Below are 21,762 nucleotides of genomic sequence, written 5' to 3'. Positions count from 1 at the left end.
GCGACATAAACTGCATGCTGTTTGCAAGTGGTTGCAGTTCTTCTGCCCAGCCCATTATCACACCACTGGGCTATGCAGTAATCTGGTTCAGCCCGCTGCCATTGAACTGTAGGTAAGGTGGATACCTTGTTCAGCTTTCTGCTACTGGATTCTCTTGCCTGTATGTAAGCCTCTAATAAAACCTCTTGTTTGCTGGCTCTGGGTCTCCTCTTCTGCCTCTTGAAACTGGGGCCTTCCCTATTGAGGTTAACAGGGGTTTGGCACAACAAGTAATTGACAAGGCAGGCAGGAGTTCGGAGAAAATCCTGTGAGCACCAAGACAGTGGGATCGGGGAAGGGGAAATCAGTGGGGGAAATCCCAGGTTGGCCATCCACATCAATGTGGGGCCCAATAGCTGCTATCTTTGATGCATGGGGCCTACCACATGAGTACAGGATGCCCTGAAAATGCCGAAGGATCTGGAAGAATTTTTGCAGGGGGTGGATCTGACTGAGCATGGGTCAGATGCCTGAGCAGTGGCAGCCACGGTTGGCTGGCCACTTCTGACCACTCAGAGGCTGAGCTCCTGGCACAGGCGAGGAAGGGTTCATCTATTACAGAGTGAACTGTGATTACCACAAGGTGCCAGATACCGCCGAGACCTTGGCTTGTTGGTTGGCCCGTTTGAAGGGCCACCACCTTCCCCACACCCCCAGGGAGCAGACCCGCAAGATTTGTCCCTATCTGGAATACAACAGCACAGTGCAGGACTGCACCACTGTGGAACTGGTGGAGCTGAGGTTCCACAGAAGGGGAGAGTCAGTCATGGGGTGGCTTCTCCATCTATGTGACATGGGGCGGAGGGTTTTATACTCTCTGAACTAGAGATGAATAAAATGGCACAGTCCACTCCGCCCTCAGGCAGTGCTGCTGTGGCACTGATAATGGGAATTAAGCCATCCCCCTCAGCTGGGGGATGCTGACGGCAAAGCAGCCTGGATAAATAAGGGAGATGCCCCCACCTCCTTCACAAAAGCAGACTATGCAGGAATGGTGGGAAATCCTCCAGGAATAAAGGATGAAGTATGCTCTCTATGCTGAGCATTTCCGAGGTCGTCATGATGAATGTCTCCCTGCTGGCATGAAAGATGCTATCTTGCAGTCTGTACTTGGATAGAGCACCCTTGACATAACTAACTGTATTTTAGAAAAAGGCTTCATTTTATATTTCAGAGAGTACTTTGCCAATAAGCATAAGACATTTTACTTAATAAACAAATAAAAACATAAAGACTGCATCCAACCAATAAGAACACAAACAAGCACACTCTTCCACCAGTTCTCACCAGAGGACTCCATGACTGTAAGAGAGCAGGCCTTCAGCTCAAAACTGCCATCTTAACTGACATCATCTTGCAGCCACTCATAAGAATTAAGCATCTGCTGCCTAGGGCTCTGCCACATCAAAGACTCTTCTTTGCGAAACAGCCTAGACCAGAACTCTTTTTGTCTTCTTTGCTCCCCTGGACTGGTTAATTAACTTTCTCCTATATCTTTTTCCTCTTGATGTTAAAAGTTACTTTGTTATGGAATACTTAATCTATAACATTTATATTTTACACATACTATTATGTATGGTTTGCAATATTGACTGACTGGTGAAGTGCCCATGGCTCTGACCACTGAGTGAATGGGAAGTACTAAGAATTGCCTCCTTTGAAACTCCATGCAGCTCGTGACTTTTGTGATTGAAATAGCATCAATAAAGCCTGACATTGTGGAAAGACACAAATATGCACAGACCTGGTTATCTCTAACCTTGCAACACTCATGTCAGTACTCAACCGATGGTTTGGTGCACTAGTGTCTATCCTGAGCCTCCTGGTAGGAAAAACATGGTCTCAGGTGGCCTTGGTGGCCACCAAATTAGGAAAAATGAAGAAACTTGTGTGGACAAGGGATGCATGCTTGGATGAAAGACAAGGGATCCAAAGGGAAGGAGACAGCCAAGGGGCCTGTCAGGGTGACCCACAGACAAATGTGATGTAACCTGGTAGTAGCAGGGACACCTTTTCATTAAACGGCTTAAACAGCCTAATGCTGTTCTGGTGGGATGATGGCCAAAGCGCAAGCCAGAAAACAGTGCTTCACTAAGGAGCTTCAGGTTCAGCCAGCTGCCCCCTGTGCAGAGGGAATGGCAGGTGCCAACCCCTTTAGACTAGGATGAAGGCCAAGGCTCCAGAATTCTGATAAGAGAAATGGTGTCCAGGTGTCTGGGGACCAGAGGCCACAGGTAGAACTAACTACATATTGGTCCCCTAAGAATAAATAGACTGTGCTTGTCCTGGTGGATACTGGAACCGAATGTACTCTCACATATGTTAACGTTTATCAGTTCCAAGGGTCTATAACAGCAATAGATTGGTGGGGGCCATGAAAGTCAGGCAAGTTGACTAGTGTGACAAGTTGAGAGACTGCCACCAAAACTGTATTTAGTATACACAGCTCCCATCCCAGAATACCTTTTGGGAATGGCTATATTATCATGCCTGACCCTCCAAACAACTGCTGGGGGATTCCGACTGAGAATTGGGTGTGAAGCATGTGATTGGGAGAATGAGAAATGGGCACCAGGACAGTTGCCAGTCCCAGGGTGAGTAGTAGCTCTGAAGCAGTACCGTCTGCCGCAGGGCATGATGAGATCACAGGGCTGTTAAGGAGCTAGCCTGGGTAGGCATTAGAAGGCCAGCACTCAGCCCATACGGCAGCCCTATGTGGCCTGTGTAGAAGCATGATGGGACGTGGAGAATGAAAGTAGATGACCAGGAATTAAATAAGATGGTCCCCTCAATGTATGCAGCTATTCCCAATATCACCTCCTGTATTAGGCCATTCTTGCATTGCCATAAAGAAATACCTGAAAAGGGGTAATTTATAAAGAAAAGAGGTTTAATGGACTCATAGTTCTACAGGCTTTGCAGGAAATGTGCTGGCATCTGCTCAGCTTCTGGGGAGGACTGAGGAAGCTTACAATATGGTGGAAGGTGAAGCGGGAGGCACATCACATGGCCAGAGCAGGAGCAAGAGGAGTAGGAAGGGAAGTGCCACACACTTTTAAACAATCAGATCTCATGAGAACTCACTGTCAGAGGACAGTTTCAAGGGGATGGTACTAAACCCTTCATGAGAAATCCACCCCCATAATCCAATCACCTCCCACCAGGCCCCACCTCCAACAATGGGGATTACATTTCAACATGAATTCTGATGTGAACACAGATCCAAACCATATCACCTCCCTCCTGATGAGGACAGGAGAGGCCCTGGGCACATACCATTTTGTTATCGATTTAGCCAATGCCTTCTTCAGCATCCCCATTTCCGCAGAGAGTCAAGGCCAACATGCATTCACCTGGGAAGGAGAATAGACCTTTACCCTCTTATCCTAGGAAACTGTCCCAGAGGGGGTATGTGGTTTCCATTACGTTGATGATACCATGCTAACTTCAGAGTCTTTTCCAGTTTACAAACTATGCCCCAACCCTGCTGCCTCAATCGGCCAACAGAGGGTGAGCAATTGGCACAAAGTCCAGGGTCCACGCTTGTCAGTCAAATACTTGGATGTCATCTGGTCAGGTGAGACTAAAGTCATTCTGTGTGTGGTTATGGATATGGTGCAGGCTTATCCACATCCCACTGCACCAAAGCAGAGTAAACCTTCCTAGGCCTTCTAGGGTAAGGGCTTCCTTCTATTCCTCATCTGGCCCAATTCCTTAGGCCCCCATACCACTTAGTCAAGAAAGGCGCCTGCTAGGAGGGGCCCACGAGAGAGGATGCAGCTTTTGAATGAGCTAAAGCTGCAGTGAAACAAACACAAGCCTTGTGGGTTCTAGTGCAGGGACAATCCCTGAATTAGATGTGGCCGGTTATCCTGAGGGGTCTGAGTGGGGCATGTGGCAAAGGCAAGGACATAAAACTTGTGCCTTTAGGATTCTGGTCCCGGGGGCTGAAGGTGGATTACAATGTCATGGGGCAACAACTCTGCTGCATGTCATGTCTTGCAACTAGTGGAGGATGGTGTGGAGGGTGTCCTCATGCTGATGCACACTCAGAACCCCATGGCAGGTTGGCTGGAGGATGCTTTTCAGAGACTGAGGTCTGGGAATACCCAGACACAGACTGTGGCCAGATGCCATGCATGCCTGCAACAGAAGAGCACATTGACTGGTAGCCCCTTGAGCACCAAGTTCCATTTGGTGCTTGGCCCTGTCACTTTATGTCACAACTGAAGGACAGTCTTTGACAGAGACCACTGGACTCTACAGGTTCCCCCCTTCATACAGGAGGACAGGGCCCAATTCCTGACACACCTTTGCCCCAGCCTGGGGCTCAAGGCAACCTGCTGTTGCCCTTACCACATGACCTGCCCACCAGGGACCACATCATTAAGTAGCCCCAGAAATAGCAAACCAGCCCCTACCAGTTCAGTTTTCTCACCCCATGGGGGAAGGGCCTAAAACAGGTGATATAGGTCACACCTATTTTGTACCCTACTCGCACTCTGGGATGGTGAGTCCCCTTGTGCAGGGGGCCGATCATCCTCTCATTGTGGAACATTGCAGTGTCCTGGTATCTTGCTCTGGCCTTCTGCCACGTGTCACAGAAGGGGAAAAATCCATTTGGACAATAAACCAGGCATCAGACCAGGGGTGGTGTTCTCTCAGAAAGACATAATGATATGGTTTGGCTGTGTCCCCACCCAAATCTCACCTTAAATTGTAATAATCCTCACACATCAAGGGTGGGGCCAGTTGGAGATAATTGAATCATGGGGGTTGTTTTCCTGATACTGTTCTCATGGTAGTAAGTCTCACAAGTCCTGATGGTTTTATAAATGGGAGTTCCCGTGCACAAGCTCACTCTTGTCTGCTGCCACGTAAGACGTGCCTTTACTCCTCCTTGCCTTCTGCCATAATTGTGAGGCCTCCCCAGCCATGTGGAACTGTGAGTCAGTTAAACCTTTTTTCTTTATAAATTACCCAGTCTTGGGTATGTCTTTATTATCAGCATGAGAACAAACTAATACATACAACTTCCTGTGTCTTGCTAAATGGCCATGTTTCTTGCACCCACTAAACATCTCACCATCCACCCGTTGATGGTGTGCAGCAAACTTCTTTGCCAACTGGCCACAGAAGATGGCCTTTCTTGAGAACAAAACAGAATTTCAGGCCTGCAGAGAGCTGCCCCCTCCTCCTCCACAGGCCTGCCATGGCGCATCCAAGATCTACTCCCTAGTGCTTGGATGAGCTTCGTCATTATTGTGTTTGTTGTTCTTTTTGTAGTTGTAGATTGTATTGCTGCTGCTGGCACCTGGCTGCAATGCTCCTCAGCATACCTGGCCCAAGGAAAATTGCCGAAAAATGGCATGATAAGAATGTGAGAGCCATGCAAAGTTATGCTGGGTTGGAATGTATGGTAAACTCACCTGATGGCAATGACTTGAGCATGGCCTTAGAATGATGCTGTATGGCTGATTCACCTGAATGTGTGTTCCGAGCCAGGGAATCCAGGAGTGGCCAATCCAAAGATTCCTTCCTTGTCTATGAGAAACATCTGAGCCCCCAGTCTGTCCTGAGGGACATGGGCTGTCCAGGGGATGGAGGCCCTGAGTTTTGGGTTGGATGAAGGTTGCTTAGGTTTTCACTACTTACCCTGCTCAAGGAGTCTTGACTCCTTCCTGATTTGAGGACCCATCTTCCTGGAAGAAAAAATATATATATGCAACAAAACATAGGATTTGGGAAATTATTCAAATAGTTTCTGAGTTGAAGAGAATTCCACTTGCCCTCATCAGTTATATTTACAGCACAATGAGCTCAGTTCTCCTTATTTTACAGACAAACTGACGTGTAACTGAAAAATGATGTTCAGAAAGTACTGTTGCATTGGGCCTGCTGATTTGATGACATGGAAAGTCCTGACCACATCCAAATCCATTGCCCTTCTTCAGATCTGTCCCATTAAAATGTCCGAGGGCCCACGATGCTCATCTCTATTTAAATATTTTGTTGTTCCTTTGGGACATAAATAGGAAAGGTTTCTCAAAATTTCAGCTGACTACACTCAGATCCCCTCATGCCAGACCTCACATACTATGATGTAGCATTTTGTAGATAACATGGACAGACACCCACCCTGTCTGCCTGATGTAGTAAATAACTTTACCCGTCCGCTGATCTTGGATTTGACTGCTGATGCTTGCCTGAAGCCTGGGTACTCTCCAGCCTGTCAGTTCAGCTGGGATGATACTAATGAAGCTGTAGCTACAAACTCAGCTCCCCTGGGGACTCATTAGCTTCAGCAGGAAAAAAAAAAATGTTCTAAATTTTCCTCATAGCCCCAGCCATCTATTTTGGAAGCACACCCACTGGGGAACAAGGGGCATTCTACATCATTCTCCCTGTATGTAATCCCTCTTCTTCCCAACAAAGCTTCTTGCATGAGAGGTTTAGACTCGCCAAGCCACCTTATCTCTCAGTTATTTCTTAACTGTCTGGATTTCTTCCTCTTTCCAACATCATTGAAACAATTCCTGCTAAAACCATCAGCAATCGGCTAACTGCCCTGAAATAAGGACTTTTCAGGGCCAATCCATTTCTCCAGAGAGGAAAGAAGAAAAGACAAACATAGTTCCTTCAAAGAAGATAAATGAGCCCTAGTGGATGCTATGCAGCCAGAGTCCTCCCAGCTGCTGGGACATCTGGGGGCTGAAAGCTATCAGCTGAGTTGCTCTTTGGCATCTGTGTCAGCTAAGGAACTTGTTGCTGTCTTGCCCAGTTTTTTGCCTTTCTTGGGACAGCCAGCATCCAATAACTGGTTGTTGGGACATGGGTATAAAAGTCCAGCCCTCTTGCCTTAAATCATGACAACTCTGAAGGGCCATTCTTGTTCCCAAGCTCCTTGTAGGATCAACTGAAAACTTTGTTGTTACTGCCCTGATATGACATCATCCCTTGAGGAGACTGGCCATATAGTGACAATGTGAGTATATTGGTCGCTATAGGACATGAGTCCTATATAACATCACATTGGACCAAAGAACATTATTACGGTATCTCTGGGTCCCATTACTTACCACACTTTTCAGAAGCTAGAGGCCTGATAGAGCAATAGCATGGACTTTTGAAGGTGCAATTAAGGTGCTGACTTGGAGATTATACCCTGCAAATGTGCCCCCTCCCCCAAGATTCAACATATATTCTAAATCAGTTACGATTCTACAATGTTGGGTCTCCAGTATGCAGAATACACATATCCAGAACCAAGGGGTGGAAGGAGAAGTGGCTCTGGCCACCCTCGTGCCCAGCTATGTACATAAGTCTAGTTTCTGTGGATTAAAAGGTCCTAGTTCCCAGGGTGGAAATACCTGCACCAAAAGGCAAAGCAAGAGTCCCATTAAACTTTAAGCTACTAGGCTGTACCAAGGCACTTCAGGTTTCTCATGACAAGAGACAAGAAGGCAAAGCAGGTTTTCCCCATCTTGGGAGGAGTGCTTGATTCTGATCCTCAAGAGGGAGTAAGGCTGCACAGTGGGAAGAAGGAAGAATATGTTGGGCACCCAGGTGACCCACTAGCGTGTCTCTTCACGCTTCCTTGCTCGATTTTGACAGTGAACGGATACATGCAGCAGCCACAGCCTGAGAAGGGCATATTGAGCAGTGTTCAGACCCCTCAGGGTTGAGAGTCTGGGTCATTTACTGAGTGAACCACCTAAACCAGCAGAAGAGACAGCTGAGGGTGAGATACACCTAGCATGGCAGATCAAGTGTGACTTCAAGACCACCTATAGTGATGAAGCCTGTCACTCATCCCATTCACCTTTTTCTTGTAGGTTTTCTCAGGGAAAGAGATCAACCAGAATTCTGAGGGAGTTGTTTCCACGACTTGTTACATGAAAAAAATCGGATCCCAGCAGCACAGGGGGTGGACTGGAAAGCATGTTTTAATGCAGCACCCAGATCCTCCCTCTCAGGGTGGTCACCCATTCACCTAATTGCTTGGAGTGGTGGTAGCTGAAGACTTTCAGTTCGGTTGCCCTCCAGAAATTGTCCTATGTTAAGTAGAGCAACCCCACACCAGAGAATGCTGTCTTTTCACTTGCAGTGCATGTCCAGTGACTGCTTCATCCTAGGAAGGTATAAAGAACCAGCTCCTCTAAGCTGGGCGAGGTGGCTCATGACTGTAATCCCAGCACTTTAGGAGGCCAAGGCAGGCAGATCACTAAGGCCAGGAGTTTGAGACCAGTCTGGCCAACATGGTGAAACCCCGTATCTACTAAAAATGTAAAAATTAGCTGGGCATGATGGCGCATGCCTGTAATCCCAGCCACTCTGGAGGCTGAGGCATGAGAATCACTTGAACCCAGGAGGTGGAGGTTGCAGTAACCCAAGATTGCCCCACTGCACTCCAGCCTGGGCAGTATCAAAAACAAAAAAACAAAACAAAACAAACAGCCCCTTTGCCTCAAGACATGACAACTCTGAAAGGCCATCCCAGTTTCTGAGCTCCCCATGGAATGGGACAAAGTCTTTGTGACTGTATCACAGTCCAACTCCTCCCTCTGATCAACCCTGCTTTTGCCACTCCCCTGTGGGTACTGATATTGGCCACACTCCCCAAAGAACTTTCTACCCACCAGTCTCTTAGAGTCTGTTTCCTAGGGAACCTAAGACTGGAGTTTTAATATTGGAAGATGCTATAATATAGTGTTCAGGGGCATGGATTTTGAAGTCTCATAGAGCTAGTTCACATCCCAGCTTTCTGTTGTTTTAAGCTACCAAGTTTGTGGTAGTTTTTATGACACTGTTCCATAAACTACGAATCTGTGAACGCTTAAGCAAGATGCTTCTATTTTCTAAGCTTCTGTTTCTGCATCTATAAAATGACAATAATGTGGGACTCAAAGGGCTATTGTTAATGAGCAAATTAGATACAATGAATTTCTTAGCACAATGCTTGGCCATAATACTCCAGAAATGGAAGCATATATATTTAAGTGCATCTCGTGTTGCGTTCCCTCTGGAGCAGACCCTGTGCCAAATATTTGAGTGCGGGTAGTTTATTGAAGAGGTGATCTCAGGAAGCATCCATAGTGGAGAAGGGAAGTGAGATGCAGAAAGGAAGGAAGCCAATACTGAGTACATTAACGTGAAAGTTACTGCTGTGGGCAATTAAAGCTTGGTCCCACTAGGGACCTCTGAAAGACTGAATAGAACTTGCTTTTCTCAAGTGGAACCACCAGAGTAAGAATCTAAGGTATTGGCCCCCAACTTCTATTCAACATCTTCTCCCCAGGGCATTAACGCTTTGATGTTTTTAGTTGGCCTCATCTGCCCCCGGGCCAAACACAATGCAGCAAGCAGAGAAAGCCCTTAGGCAGAGAGTGAGAGGTGCATACAGGTAGAAGCCATTGGTGTGTATGAGAGTGGTGAGTGCTGAGGGAATATGGATAGGATGATGACAGCATTTGCTGTGACATGTGTCTGCACATATTATACAGTACCAGCAACCTCGTAGCTTTCACCGTATTTATTAACTTTCCTCTTCTCTTGGTTCCTTCACTGTCTTATATTTTGGGGGTGTAGTGAGTTGGATGATGTCTCCCCCAAAAGATATGTTCATGTCCTAACCCCTGGAACCTGTGAATGTGAACTTATTTGGAGAAAGGGCCTTTGCAGATGTCATTAACTTAAGGATCTTGAGATAAAATCATCCAGGTGGACCCTAAATCCAATGACAAATGTCCTTATTACAAGAGAGAGGCAGTGGGAGTTTTGAGACAGAAGAGGAGACGCAATGTGACCACAGAGGCAGAGTTTGGAGTGATGTGGCCGAAAGCCAAGGAACTCTTGGAGCCACCGGAAGCGGCAGGGAGGAATATTCTGCTGGAGCCTTCAGAGAGGACCTGCCAAGTCAGACGTCTCACTTCCAGAACTGGGAGAGAATGGATTTCTGTTGTTTTAAGCTACCCAATTTGTGGTAATTTTTATGACAGCCCTGGAAAACTAATACAGGGAGTTTCCGGGAACTTGTTTCTGACCCATCTTCAGAGAGTGCCAGCAGCCTTTGTAGCAGTTGAGTTTTCAGGGAGTGGCTTGCACACAGACTGTCTCTCCAGTCATAACCAGGTTTTTTGCTTGGGGGACCTGCACCAACTGTATTTCCCAGAAGTGCTTTAGGAATTGAGATCCAGGAGATTCTAGACCCTGGGCCCCTGGCTCCAGACTATAGGTGTAGCCCTTCTGTGAAGTTCACTGGACATTTCAGAAAAGCCAGAGGACACAAGATCTCTTCTATACTGAGAAAGCTTGAAAAAAAAATGAGTTAAATTAAAGCTAATCAATGAAGCTGATTATTCAAAAACACTTCAAAATTTTTCTGCAAAATGATGCACAAATTAGATACTTATTCCACAAACACTGATCAGCTTCTGCAGTATGCCAAGAATTTTGCTGGGTGCTAATATCTCACAGGCAGGAATCCTCAAGGAAAAGTAATGGTGAATTTATTAAATACACAGGTACTGAGGCTCATATTTCTACTCCTGGCAAAGGCTATGCCTGTGGTATGTCAGGGTGGAGAAGATCTACTTTGGCTCTCTTCAGAGAGTTCCGGCTATCTGGCCCTTTACTTGGAATTCCTGCTGTTCCTGAAATCCATCTGGTTCTGGATGGGACATCTGAGATGTACTGGGAAAGCACTATCCCCAGGTGACATTGGATGCAGAGGCTACAATGCCCGCGGAGCCCCACTCACATTTTAAAGGATGGCATCTCCATACTTGAAATAGGAGAAAAATATGACCCTTCTCACCCGTCCTTCCTGGACCAGCTAGTACAACCTCTTCCAAAATGCTTCCCAGACTTTTCTGACCCAGTTAATCCATCCACCTATGGTACTCTGAGCTGAACTACCAATGCTGAACATTTAGATTGTTGCTTAACTGCTTTGTTAACTGTTATCCCCCCCAGACAGTTGATGAGCACCTGGAAAGCAAGAACATTGTCCTAGCTCACTTGAATACTAATAGGTATCCAATAATTTGTTTGAATGAATATTGAATGAAATTCATTCAACAGTTGAAAAAAATGAATGCATCTTGACACTTCTCTGCTCTAAGCCTCCCACTGTTTCCCTTCACATCCACAGGAGAAGCCAAGGTCAAGGTCATTACAGCTGCCCACAGGGCCCGCTGTGACCCAGCCACCTGCTCCCGTCAGGACCTCACCTCCTATCAGTCTTCCCCTTGCTCACTCTGTGGCCTTCTTGCTGTTCCTTGAACACACCAAGCACACCCTTTCCTCAAGACCTGGTGAGGGTTGCTAGATTCAGCAAACCAAAATACAGCACTCCTGGTTCAAGTAGAATTTTAGATAAACTGACTTAATATATCTTATGCAATATTTAGGATATACTTACACTAAAAAAACTTGCTTTTTATTTGATTTCAACTCAAACCAGCATCTTGCATTTTATCTGGCAGCCCTACGTTCTGGTTCCTCTTCAGGGAACAGTCTTTTGCTAGATGACCATGTGGCTCAGTCCCTAACTTCCTTCTGATACCACCATAGTGCAGAGGCCCACCCTTTGCAGCATGTCTAAAAGAGCACACCACCATCACCAGCTCTATCCCTCTTCATCCCTGTTTCCAGACTTAGTCTTCTTAGCACTATGAAAACTGGACAGTATATTTCTACAGGCTCTTTTCTGTTTTACTTCACTCTCAAGTAAACCCCACATGAGCAGGGACTTGTGTCATTTACTGATGTATTCAGTAAACACCTGGGACAGTCTGGCACAGCGAGCCCTTAGTGACTACCTATTGAATGGCTTTAAATTTGAATGGCTTTTAATTTTCTTTAAAAGGTTAATTCCTTGGTTATTAAAAAGTCAGATGGTGGCGAGGTTGCAGAGAAAAGAAAACTTATTTTATTTTACTTTAAGTTCCAAGATACATGTGCAGAACGTGCAGGTTTGTTACATAGGTAAACATGTGCCATGGTGGTTTGCTGCACCTATCAACCCATCACCTAGGTATTAAGCCCTGCATGCATTAGCTATTTGTCCTGATGCTCTCCCTCCCCACGCCCAACAGGCCCCAGTGTGTGTCATTCCCCTCCCTGTGTCCATGTGTTCTCATTGTTTAGCTCCCACTTATGAGTGAGAACATGTGGTGTTTGGTTTTCTGTTCCTGCATTAGTTTGGTGAGGATGATGGCTTCCAGCTTCATCCATGTTCCTGCAAAGGACATGATCTCATTTCTTGAGAAAAGGAAATATTTATGCACTGCCGGTGGGAGTGTATATTACTTTAGTCATTGTGGAAAACAGTGTGGTGATTCTTCAAAGAACTTAAAACAGAATTACCATTCAACCCAGTAATCCTATTATTGGGTATACAACCAAAGGAATAGAAATCATTCTACCACAAGGACACATGCATGCAATTGTTCACTGAAGCACTGTTCACAATAGCAAAGACATGGAATCAACCTAAATGTCCATCGACAGTTGACTGGATAAAGAAAGTGTGGCACATTTACACCATGGAATTCTATGCAGCCATAAAAATGAATGAGATCAGGTCCTTTGAAGCAACATGGATGGAGCTGGAGGCCATTATCCTTAGCAAACTAACACAGGAACTGAAAACCAAATACTGCATGTTCTCATTTATAAGTGGGAGCTAAACAACAAGAACACATAGACATTAAGAGGGGAACAACACACATGGGGTCCTACTTGCGGGTGGAGCAGGGAGGACAGAGAGGATCAGAGAAAATACCTATTGGATACTATGCTTATTAACTGAATCATGAAATAACCTGTACAACAAACCCCTGCGACACGCAATTTACCTATATAACAAACCTACACTTGTACCCCCAAACCTAAAATAAAAGTTAAAAACTAAAAAATAAACCAAAAACATGTTAATTCTTATAGAGACTTTTGGGAGGTAAATTTCCAAGTTTAAAATGTTAGTATGATTCCCCCTTTAAGAGAATGACTCCCTCTCACTCTCCCCCATCCATCCTGACAGACCTTCTCAATAAGAAAACATCTCAAGTGAAAACGGAATTGGCCTTGACTCTTGGGCTTCTTTGGTGCAGTCTTTTCCCTCCTTTGTTCTATGCTGAATGCCAGCTTGGAAACATACATATTACTTATTTAGAAGTCACAGGAAAACATTTAAGTTCTCATCCTTAGGTTGGCAGAAAAGTCCACTGATACTTGAATCAGAAGACATGTTTGACCTTGAGTTTTCCCTGCAATGTTGTGTGAGCCAGTTTATCTGTAACTGACAATCTGAAGAAGGCAACGATGAACATTAGTGACTGAGGGGATGACCCATGCTATTCCATCCCATGTTCCACTTTTCTACTTGGTCCTTGCCCAGAGATATGAAGAGAAACTGTTCTCTGTTTTATTGTAGAATTCAGCTGTAAAGGAAATTTTAGCTGTTATAACAAGCTGCCAGATGAGGCACACTATTCTCATTTCTGTTTCTTAAACATTTGAAGGATGAGGCATTGCTTGTAAGCATCTAATAGGCAATACTCTGGCTTCAGAGAAGTTGACAATAAGGAGAGGCAATCTCAGCTCACCCAGCCAGTATCCAACAGAGCACCTTTTGCCTTCTGAATCTTTGCCCAGAGCAGATGCATGGGCCAGAATTGTGTTGGGTCAATCTGGACAAAATGGGCTTAGAACCTACAGCTCTCTGATACTCTAATAGTAGAGTCTTTGAGATTTTCTTCTGCCACCACCACCACCCAACCACCACCACCACCACCATATTAGGCCAGGTTTCATCACCATATGCTTGACATCCTGCCAATCAACACATGATTCCAGGCTCTGAAACTAATCATGATTTCTCTCACTTGTTCAGCAATTGTTAGTTTGTGGTACTCTAGGTTTCTGCCCCATCAGGAGTCTTCTGCCTGGCTTTCAAACCCTCCATCATCTACCTTCTACTTACCTAATCAGCCCCTGCCCCCATCTCCCTAATTTTTAGCTTCTTTTCTAGTCTATATCCACCTCCAGGTAACTTTCAGAGTGTTTCTTTTGCCACCTTTATATGCTGAAAACCTGTCCAGCCTTCAGGATATACTTCAGCCTTTACTTATCTCTCCTTGCCCTAAAACTCCACATTTATCATTTGAGTAGATACTTGCTGCATTTTAATGTTTTCTGTTCCTTTTCTCCGCAACTAAATTGTAAGTGTCTTAAGATCTGGAATAAAGATATGAAAAATGAAAACTATATCTGATTATTGATTAATTTCCAAATGGCCTCAATGGCAAAGTTAGCACCACACCTAAGTTGATAGCTATGCGTTTGGTTCTCTCCTACAAACAATAAGTAAAGGAAACGTCATTGTGGGTTCAATGGCTTCCTGACACGGGACTTTAAACAAGCTTATGTGACCATTTGGAGAATCTGAAGCAACTTGACCCCAGCACAATAAAAGCTGGTCTATAGCCTCTTTTGAGGAATCTGAATATTTATGTGGTAGACACTGATGATATGTTATCCTAAATTCTTGTAATAATCTCGAATTGTTAACAAAAGGATTGTTATCTCACTCTAAGGTTAAAAACAAGCTTAGACAGGTCAGAAAGTGCGTCCAAGTTCACACAGTTGGTCAACGGTGAAGTCAGGATGAAGACACGGTGGGTTAACTTTCAGACCCTTAAGCTGTGGCTTCCAAGGCACCTTCCATTCATACCACAGGTATTCTAGATTTCAAGCACCGACACCATCAGGGTAGAAATGGATGAACAAAAGTGTGGACTCAGAGGAGCTATCTGCCAAGTGCTGAAATACACTGGCAGCATTGTACACCTAAGAGCTAGTCAATAACATTATTTCTTTACATTTCTATGGATGTTTGAAAAAACTAAATTCACAAAGCCTTCAGAGAACCCTGGATTCGCTCAAAATTTTGACATGCTGAACTTGATAGTGCTCAGGAAATATTAAACATCTAAATATGATTGATTATTCTCCTGAGGAAGGAAAAAAATCAATGATTTACTTTTCCTCCAGTTTGCTAGAGTTTTCTTTTTTCAAGGCCTTCCTTTGAATGTCTAAATGCTTAATACAAATAAGTCCTAGAAACCTACATAACTGTCTTACAGTTGTGTTAAAAAAAAATACGTGGTTCAGGCCGGGTGTGGTGGCTCATGCCTGTAATCCTAGCACTTTGGGAGGCCAAGACAGGCAGATCACTTGAGGTCAGGAGTTTGAAACCAACCTGGCCAATGGGGTGAAACCCCATCTCTACTAAAAATACAAAAAAGTTAGCTGGGTGAGGTGGTGTGTGCCTGTAGTCCCAGCTACTCGGGAGGCTGAGGCAGGAGAACCTGTAGGCAGAGGTTGCAGTGAGCCAAGATCGCACCACTGCACTCTAGCCTGGGCAACAGAGGGAGAATCTGTCTCAAATATACGTATATATGTGATTCAGTAGCCAAAAAGTAGCTTAATGGAAATTCTACTCTTTGCTTGCATGTCTCAGGGAATATCAGAAGGGATCAGATTGCTAAACCATGGCCTCTCATCCTCATTTCTTTTCTATACAGAAGTTACGCCAAAGCCTCTCATTTGTCACATCCCCAAAATTCTTTCTGACATTCAACCCACAGCAATTCTCTGTGTTCCAGTTCTCTCCTCTCTAGTTCAGTATTCCTCTCCACCCATTCTAGTTTGGCATCACAAAACAGCAACAACCAAAACCAGACTAGCAGAGGTGTGATATTCCCACCTATGGGAAATTAATAATGGCATCGATTTTGCATGCGTCTCTCTATCCACACTGTTTGCAATGTGACTTTGTAGCGCCTCCTGACAAGGGGTGGAAATGACTACATGCTTGCTCTGAGCTCAGACCTCAAGAGGCCTTGCATACTCTTCCTTTCTCTCTCTCTCTTCTGCTCTTCCTCTTTCTCTCCCCTTCTCTTTCTCCGTCTCCCTAATAACCCTGACATAGTTATTGAAGATGAGAAGAGGACAGCCTACTTGTCCCAGCTGAAAACATCCCAGACCAACATACAACCAACCAACCCAAACACATGAGAGTACGCCAGCTGTCAGCTGGTCCACCAACTCATCATAGATGTATGAGCAGGTCCAGCCAAGAGCAGAAGCAGCACCAGGCCAAACCACAGTTTCGTGAGCTAATTAATGTTTAAGTTAATTAATGTTTAAGCTGGTTTAAGCCATTCCTTTATGGAGTGGTTTGTTACACCACACTAGATAACTGATATATTTGTAAAAGAGGAGACAAATCAGAGCTAGGAGCAGAGGGGAAATAGGGAATACTTGCCTGTGAATAAACTGTGCTTGCGTTGAGTGGAAGCTGATATTTATCTGTGAGAGTTCCTAACAGCAACACTAGGGTTCAGTGTTACGTTTTCTTCTTTTAGTCTCACCTACCAAACTAACTCGGGTAGAACTAATGTAAATGTAAAAACTATCCATAGATTTCCTATTGCAAATGTGGACATTTTTCTAGCCCTTACTTGACCATAATAATTTAATCTGCAATCTTCTCTACAATCCAAAGCAAAGGTCTTTTTCCACCATTCATGTGGCTTCTGGTCAGAGTCCATTGCTTAGGGATTTTGCTGAAAGCAGTGCCTACTGTGTCAAAGAAGCATTTATCACAATCTGTGAAAGGTTTATGTGTAAGCAAAAGCAATGTGTATGTCACTGGGTCCTGACAGAGCTGTAATAAAATCTACATATTGGCTGTATCCACTTAGGATATATTTCCCTTCTGAGAATATTTGTTTGCTTTCAGATATTTTGGACATAAATTGTTTTGAAGTTAGGGTGTACACTTCTGAGGCATTGCCAAACAAGCTGCTTTCATTACATCCAAATTCTACCCCCATAAGAGAGTCTATAGCTAAGTTTTTAAAAAGTAGAGCTACAACATAATGATGATGATAAAACATTTTCTCAAGATTTAACAAACACACAAACTTCAAGATAAATTGGATTAGGAAATTCTGTGTAATGTCACCATCTGGTTGCTCCTGCAAAATGTTACAACTGTCTCGATGCCAATAATCAACATTTTATTAATGCCTTAAAGCAAGAAAAGATCATTTTTTAAAGGACCTAAGAGAATTGTTTTGCAGTCTTTAATAGTCTCATGAAGGACAGCATATCAAAGTATCTTTGGGGATGCTTTGCTTCCAACACAGAAATCAACTGTAACTAAATTAAGAAAAAGAAAAACTTATTGAAAGGATACAGGCTCTCATAATCATAAAAGGAAAAGCTTGAAACACACACACACACACACACACACACACACACACGCAGATTTCGGAAAGGGCTAAGAACAGAGTAGCTTCAGGTACAAAGGTGTCAGAAACTATTTAATGAGTCACCTCAAATTGCCATTGTCATGAAGAACAATCTCCAGCTGTTTTCCGTCTTTTTGCGCCATATTGCTTAAGATTCCAATTGCAGGAGGAGAGTATCTACTTGGCCTAACTTGCGTCAGCTACTCAATCTTGCCCAAGGGAGGGCTGGGCCACCTTGATTGGCAGTACCCCCAGGACTGCTTCCAATGGAATCAAGTGTGTGGGAGAGAAGGAGGTAATTCCCAAAGCAACATCAAGGTTCTGCAACTTGAAGAATGAAAAATGAGCACAGGAAAATGAAGCAATAGAAACCTCCCACAGAAGCCCATGCTCAAAAGACTGGCAAACCAAATAAAACCTGAAGTCAAGACCCCATCTCCCATTCCTCTACTATCTTCCACTCTATGTGGAGACTTGTAAATAGCCTTAAAAAACACTCCATGGACAGTGCCTGGGGTGGAGGTGGTGGATAAAATATTTTAATGACAATTTAAAAGGAGAGAGCGTATTAATTTTCAACTTAATTGGACACTAACTCTCATCATCCAGAAGCAGGGTGAAAAAGAGAATAGAGGTTATGGTGAAGTGAAAGTGAACACAATGCAAGGCAAAGAAGAAAGAAATAAAGTCACTGTCAGAAAAAAAAACCATGATAATTATTACTTCCCTATGAAACTACACAGACTAGATGGACTCAGAATGGGTGTTTGCCTGTGTTAATGTCACTGCATTCTATGCCTTAAATGTACCTTCAAGGATCCCTAGGACAATCCCAATTTTTGTACCTTCTGGTCTGGGTCTCTTTGGCCTATTTCTATACTCTCTTCTTTGTATCTAACCTGGCTCTTTCCTCTTATAACTTATTTAATTTATTCTTGTGCTATTATTGGCAATGGTGGAGAATAACATGTCACAACCCTTCCTATAAATATCTTCTCATATGCTTGCAGTTCGTAAACCTATTCTCAATCCTGCTATGAACCAAGTAGTATGATTCAACAACCTTCTCCCACCAGTCCTATGTACTGAGCCTTTAACAAGGTTTTCTGAAAAGAGAGGTGTCAATTTCACTGTGTTCCCAGAAGTGACAGGGGTCTATTTTTTCTCCATTCAGAGTGGAAATAATAAAAAGAGGAAGAATCACAGTGAATTGATTTGGGGGTTGATCACCAACCCTTCCTTAAAAATGTGTACATGTGAATGTCCTTTCACACAAATGCAATCACAGAATTTCCCCGGAGCACATTAGACCTGGTGATATGTTAGACTCTCAGCATACCAGATTGGTGGGGAAAAGGCTAAAGTCATAACAAAAAGGAACCAGAGCAAGGCCAGGGACAGCTCCTACCCCAGTTAACCAGTTATGAAGCATAACAATATCCGGAAATAGTTATATGTGCTGGACCTTATGCCAAGTGTTATATATGAATGATCTCATCTAATTCTCTTACCCACTTTTGCTTTAGAGTTATTTTTCTTACCTACAGATGAAGAAACTAGGGTTCATAAGGTGAAGAAATGCATTCAGGATTACACTTGTAGGAAGTATCAGAGCCAGAATTGACACCAGGTCATCTGGTTCCAAGGCTTAGGCTGGAAATCACCATATTCTCAAGGGCCATGATACCCGATGTTGGAGCTGGAGAGGGAGTGCCCAGTCTGGTAGGCAGCTGCCTAGGGGATCTGGAGGAAGGTGGAAGACCAGGATCCCAGGAGGGTATGGGGGGTTCCAGTTAAGCCTGCCAGGGCTTGGGCCGGCCTCACATCTCAGCAGGAAACTATATGCCAAGCAGTATCAGAGCCTGACTGCCTTAGGCATGCCCATTGTAAAGACTGGAGACCTGTTACCTGCTGGGCCATTCAGGCAGAGTTTGTCAGCCAATAAGAGGCAAGCCTGGCAACACATCCACAGCTCCCAAACCCTAGGGCCCTGCTCAGTAACTGGCCCAGAGCCTAGATTAAAAAAAAAAAAATTACCAAAGAGTCCCTGAGCCTGCTGTGTACTTCCTACATGAGCTACAGCACCACTCACAACCAACACTACGTCCCAATCACTATGTCCAGCCAGGTTCCTGATGGGTCCTCCATTTCCTGCTGGACCAAAACCCTAAAAATATCCCCAGTGTCTTCCTACCCCTTTCTCTCTCCAGTGAGCTGAATCCTGGCCCTCAACCCGCAGTCATTTGTCAGTAATACTGGTTCATTCCAAATGCACCTTCCCTGGATTCAAAATAGTACTTTCCATTGATGCTGGCTGCCATGACCACTCAGAGATCTTACCACCCTTAGCCATCAAACCGGACCACTTGGCTACTGTTACCAGCCCAGATTAAACCCCATCTCACTCGGTGATTAAGGTGGCTGGCTACCTCCCCTGGGCAGGCCCTGAAAAGGTCACTCCCAATTCTATCAGTCCCAGTGACCCAGTCCAATATGACTCAGTTTACTCCCCCTCTCTACCAGTTTGTGGGTTTGGGAGTTTCCAAATGCCTGAAGGCCAAGCTCGAACATGTCCTCATAACATAGGAAACAAAGCAGTGTGCAGTTTTATTGGCTGGCTCTACATAGTATGGGGCAGCCTATCATGAGCAGCCACACAGGTTCACAGTAGTCACCTGCATGACTGGTCATCAGCAGACAGGCTAGCATGAGCTGCAGCAGAAGCCCATCTGACTCTCACTATCAGAGCTAAGGATCACAGGAACTAATATGCCTCACTCCCTGTTGCATACCCTCCCACTTCTCAGCATCTATACTGGATGTTTGCTTATTGAGGACCTGTCTCCCCTTGCCTCTGCCCCAGGTGATATGGTTTGGCTGTGTCCCCACCCAAATCTCACCTTGAATTGTAGCTCCCACTATTCCCATGTGTTGTGGGAGGGACCCAGTGGGAGGTAATTAAATCATGGGGACGGGTCTTTCCCATGCAATTCTTGTGATAGTGAGTAAGTTTCACGAGATCTGATGGTTTTATAAAGGGGAGTTTCCCTGCACAAGTTCTCTTCTCTTGCGTGCCGGCATGTGAGACTTGCCTTTCACCTTCCACCATGATTGTGAGACCTCCCCAGCCACGTGGAACTGTGAGTTCATTAAACCTCTTTCTTTTGTAAATAGTGCAGTCTCAGATGTGTCTTTTTCAGCAGCATGAAAATATACCAGGTTTCCCCTGAATATCCACTAGCTTTTCCCACTTTGAAGCTGCATCTCTTCTCTGCTCTTGTTTTTGGAAAATACTGTTATAAAAGCCTTTTTTGTGGCTGTCCCCATGGACCATCTCTGTGTGGGTGGCACTGCTCCATTCAGGCACCAGGCTGTTAAAGCTGATGGCTTCACTCATTCTGGGCAACACTGGACCACTCCAGGCAACCCTCACAATCTCAACCTGGCTGCTGCCCAGTAGCTCTCAGAAACTTGAATGAAAGAAGCTGTTATTCCAGAGGTCTATGATGATTTCTCTGGAGCCAGGGCTATCAATGGGCTGAAAATGGGCTTCAGGAGTCTATAAACAAGAGTCACCTGTACTAGTAAAATAATTTTTAGATGTGCATTTTTCTGAAAAGAGACTGCATAGCTGTCAGGATATTCTCTCTCTCACCTGCTCTTCCTAAGTCCTAGCAGTATTGTCCCCTGGGATATTTGGCCGCTGGCATTCCTCCACCATCATTCTGATCCAAACTCTGAGAACTGCTACCACAGCTTCCCAGTGGCCTTCTGGCCTATGTTCTTGCCTGCCCCCTACAATCAGACTCGGACACTACAGGAAGCAGGCAAATTAAAACACAAATTTGATTGGGAAGGCCTATTAACTTGAGTGTGTTCTTGTCTTCCACATCCATCCATCCACTGAAATATTTTGCTTTTGCTGCCTAATTTCCTCCCTTTTGCTCTGCCCTCTAATGCAGTTCTGCTTTTTCGGCCCAGTTCCCATGATTGTTGTGATACTGAATCAAGATGAATGTACGGAGAGGTGGTACAAAGAGATGTGAGGAAAAGGGGAGGCAATGGTAGAACCGTGGCCATTCAGCCTGAAAGCTGGGGAGATACTAAAGGTAAAAGAGGGACAGGGGAATGAAGTGAGAGTCGTACAGCTGCCATGGGATTTGAGAGGAGAAAAATGGTGTTTTTAAAGAAGCACTGCTAAGTGTTATAAATCTGGGGTACCCAACCCTTGGGCTTCAGGCTGGTACTGGTCCGTGGCCTGTTAGGAACCGAGATGCACAGCAGGAAGTGAGTGGTGAGTGAACCAGCATGACCACCTGAGCTCTGCCTCCTGTTAGATCAGCAGCGGCATTCAATTCTCACAGAAGCAAGAACACGATTGTGAAATGCGCATGCAAGG

This window comes from Homo sapiens, chromosome 2 (genome assembly GCF_000001405.40).
Source record: "Homo sapiens chromosome 2, GRCh38.p14 Primary Assembly".
NCBI classification, from domain to species: domain Eukaryota; kingdom Metazoa; phylum Chordata; class Mammalia; order Primates; family Hominidae; genus Homo; species Homo sapiens.
This window is presented reverse-complemented; position numbering follows the sequence as displayed.